The 2294-nt window shown below is 54.5% G+C and overlaps 1 annotated feature.

The window, feature by feature from the left end:
• Nucleotides 1873-1982: an enhancer, noted in NCBI's record as "active region_26122". NCBI's record gives its function as "activates an Ori minimal core promoter by ATAC-STARR-seq in GM12878 lymphoblastoid cells {active_cell/tissue: GM12878}" and the evidence as "EXISTENCE:reporter gene assay evidence [ECO:0000049][PMID:35858748]".

The following is a 2294-nucleotide window of genomic DNA, read 5'->3' on the forward strand; positions in this document are numbered from 1 at the left end:
GGGGAGGAGAAGGAGAAGGGGGAGGAGGAGGGGAGAGGGAGGAGGAGAAGGGGAGTGGGAGAGGGAGGAGGAGTAGGGGAAAGGGGAGGGGAAGAGTGAGGAGGAGGCGGGGGGAGGGGAGGGGGAGGGGGAAGAGGAGAAGGGGGAGGAGGAGAGAGGAGAAGAAACCTGGTCCAGATGGGCAAATGGGGCTTGACCAGCGGGTGGGGCCTTGTTGGGGGTGGGGGGCGGGTGCAGGGTTGGCTGGGCCATCTCTGCTCCACGCACAGCCATGTGCAGGATGCCATGTGGCTATTTTTACCCCTGCCAAGGAAATAGCCTGATTTATGTGAGGCATGGTCCCATTTGTTCGGGCCTGTGTTATAAATACACCTGGCCCCACACTCGTGTTCACTTGGACAGAGAACTCAGGTCCTGGCCTGCACAGCCTCTCTCTGGCCTCCCTCCCTGCCTCACCCTGCTATGCAGCCTTGTTGAGAAGGCCTTCTGTTACAGTAGGGAGCTAGTCACACAGGAGCAGGGCAAGACCCCCACAACCAGGAATGTCAGGCAGCCACCAGGTGATGGTCAGATGGTTGAGTTTTTGTTGTTGCTTTTTGTTTTTTTGTTTTTGAGACGGAATTTCTCTCTTGTTGCCCAGGCTGGAGTACAATGGCGCGATCTCGGCTCACAGCAACTTCCGCCTCCCGGGTTCAAGCTGTTCTCCTGCCTCAGCCTCCCAATTAGCTGGGATTACAGGCATGTGCCATCACGCCTGGCTCATTTTGTATTTTTAGTGGAGACAGGGTTTCTCCATGTTGGTCAGGCTGGTCTCAAATTCCCGACCTCAGGTGATCCGCCTGCCTCAGCCTCCCAAAGTGCTGGGATTACAGGCATGAGCCACCACGCCGGGCCTGTTTTTTGTTTTTGAGACGGAGGCTTGCTCTGTTGCCCAGGCTGGAGCACAATGGTGTGATCTTGGCTACTGCATTCTCCGCCTCCCAGGTTCAAGCGATTCTCCTGCCTCAGCCTCCCGAGTAGCTGGGATTACAGGCGCCCACCACCATACCCTGCTAACTTTTGTATTTTTAGTAGAGACGGGGTTTCACCATGTTGGCCAGGCTGGTCTCGAACTCCTGACCTCAGGTGATTTCCCACCTCGGCCTCCCAAAGTGCTAGGATTACAGGTGTGAGCCACCGCACCCGGCCTGTTGTTGTTTGTTGACACAGAGTCTTGCTCTGTTGCCCAGGCTGGAGTGCAGTGGAGCCATCTCAGCTCACTGCAGCCTCCATCTCCCCAGCTCAAGTGATCCTCCCACCTCAGCCTCCTGAGTAGCTGGGACTACAGCCTCCACCACCACACCCAGCTTGCTTATTTATTTATTTATTTATTTATTTAGTATTTTTAGTAGAGCTGGGGTTTCACCATGTTAGCCAGGCTGGTCTCAAACTCCTGACTTCAGGTAATCCACCCACCTCAGCCTCCTAAAGTGCTGGGATTACAGGCATGAGCCACCTCACCCAGCAGTCAGGTGGTTGGTAACTGTCTCTCTAAAATAATAATTGGTTGCAACCAACACCAGGGAAAGGCAGTTTCCCAATAGATAGAAAGCACCTGGAACTGGTGATCAGCAGCTTCCCGATAAGATCTCAGGAGCTGGGCGAGTGGGCTCAAGCATGTGCACTAAGAGGCAACATGGTGGAGTTTAACTGGCATATGACCTGGGAGCATTTGACTGGTAAAGGAAGAATGCCTCAAGTAAGCATGCGCACTTCAGTAAACACGCTGCGCATGAGGCCCCTCCCGAGCGCTGGCAGGCCACTGCGCATGCGGCCCCTCCCGAGTGCTGGCAGGCCACTGCGCATGCGGACAGACCACCCCAAGGGAAGAATCGGGGAAAGTTAACGCAAGCCCCGGAAGGATGCCAACGTATCAAACGCCAAGTCCAAGGTCAAACAGTGCACTTGACTCTCAAGTCACCTGCTTGACCCTCTTCCAAGTGTACTTTACCTCCTTTCCTTACTGCCCTAAAACCTTTTGTTTGTTTGGTTGGTTTTGTTTTTGTTTTGAGATGGAGTCTTGCTCTGTTGCCCAGGCTGGAGTGCAGTGGTGTGATCTCAGCTCACTGCAACCTCCACCTCCCGGGTTCAAGCAATTCTCCCACCTCAGCCTCCCCAGTAGCTGGGATTATAGGCGTGTGCCACTATGCCTGGCTAATTTTTGTATTTTTAGTAGAGACAGGGTTTGGCCATGTTGGCCAGGCTGGTCTCAAACTCCTGACCTCAAGGGATCCACCCGCCTCGGCCTCCCAAAG

The sequence above is a fragment of the Homo sapiens genome, chromosome 7, assembly GCF_000001405.40.
Source record: "Homo sapiens chromosome 7, GRCh38.p14 Primary Assembly".
Taxonomy (NCBI): domain Eukaryota; kingdom Metazoa; phylum Chordata; class Mammalia; order Primates; family Hominidae; genus Homo; species Homo sapiens.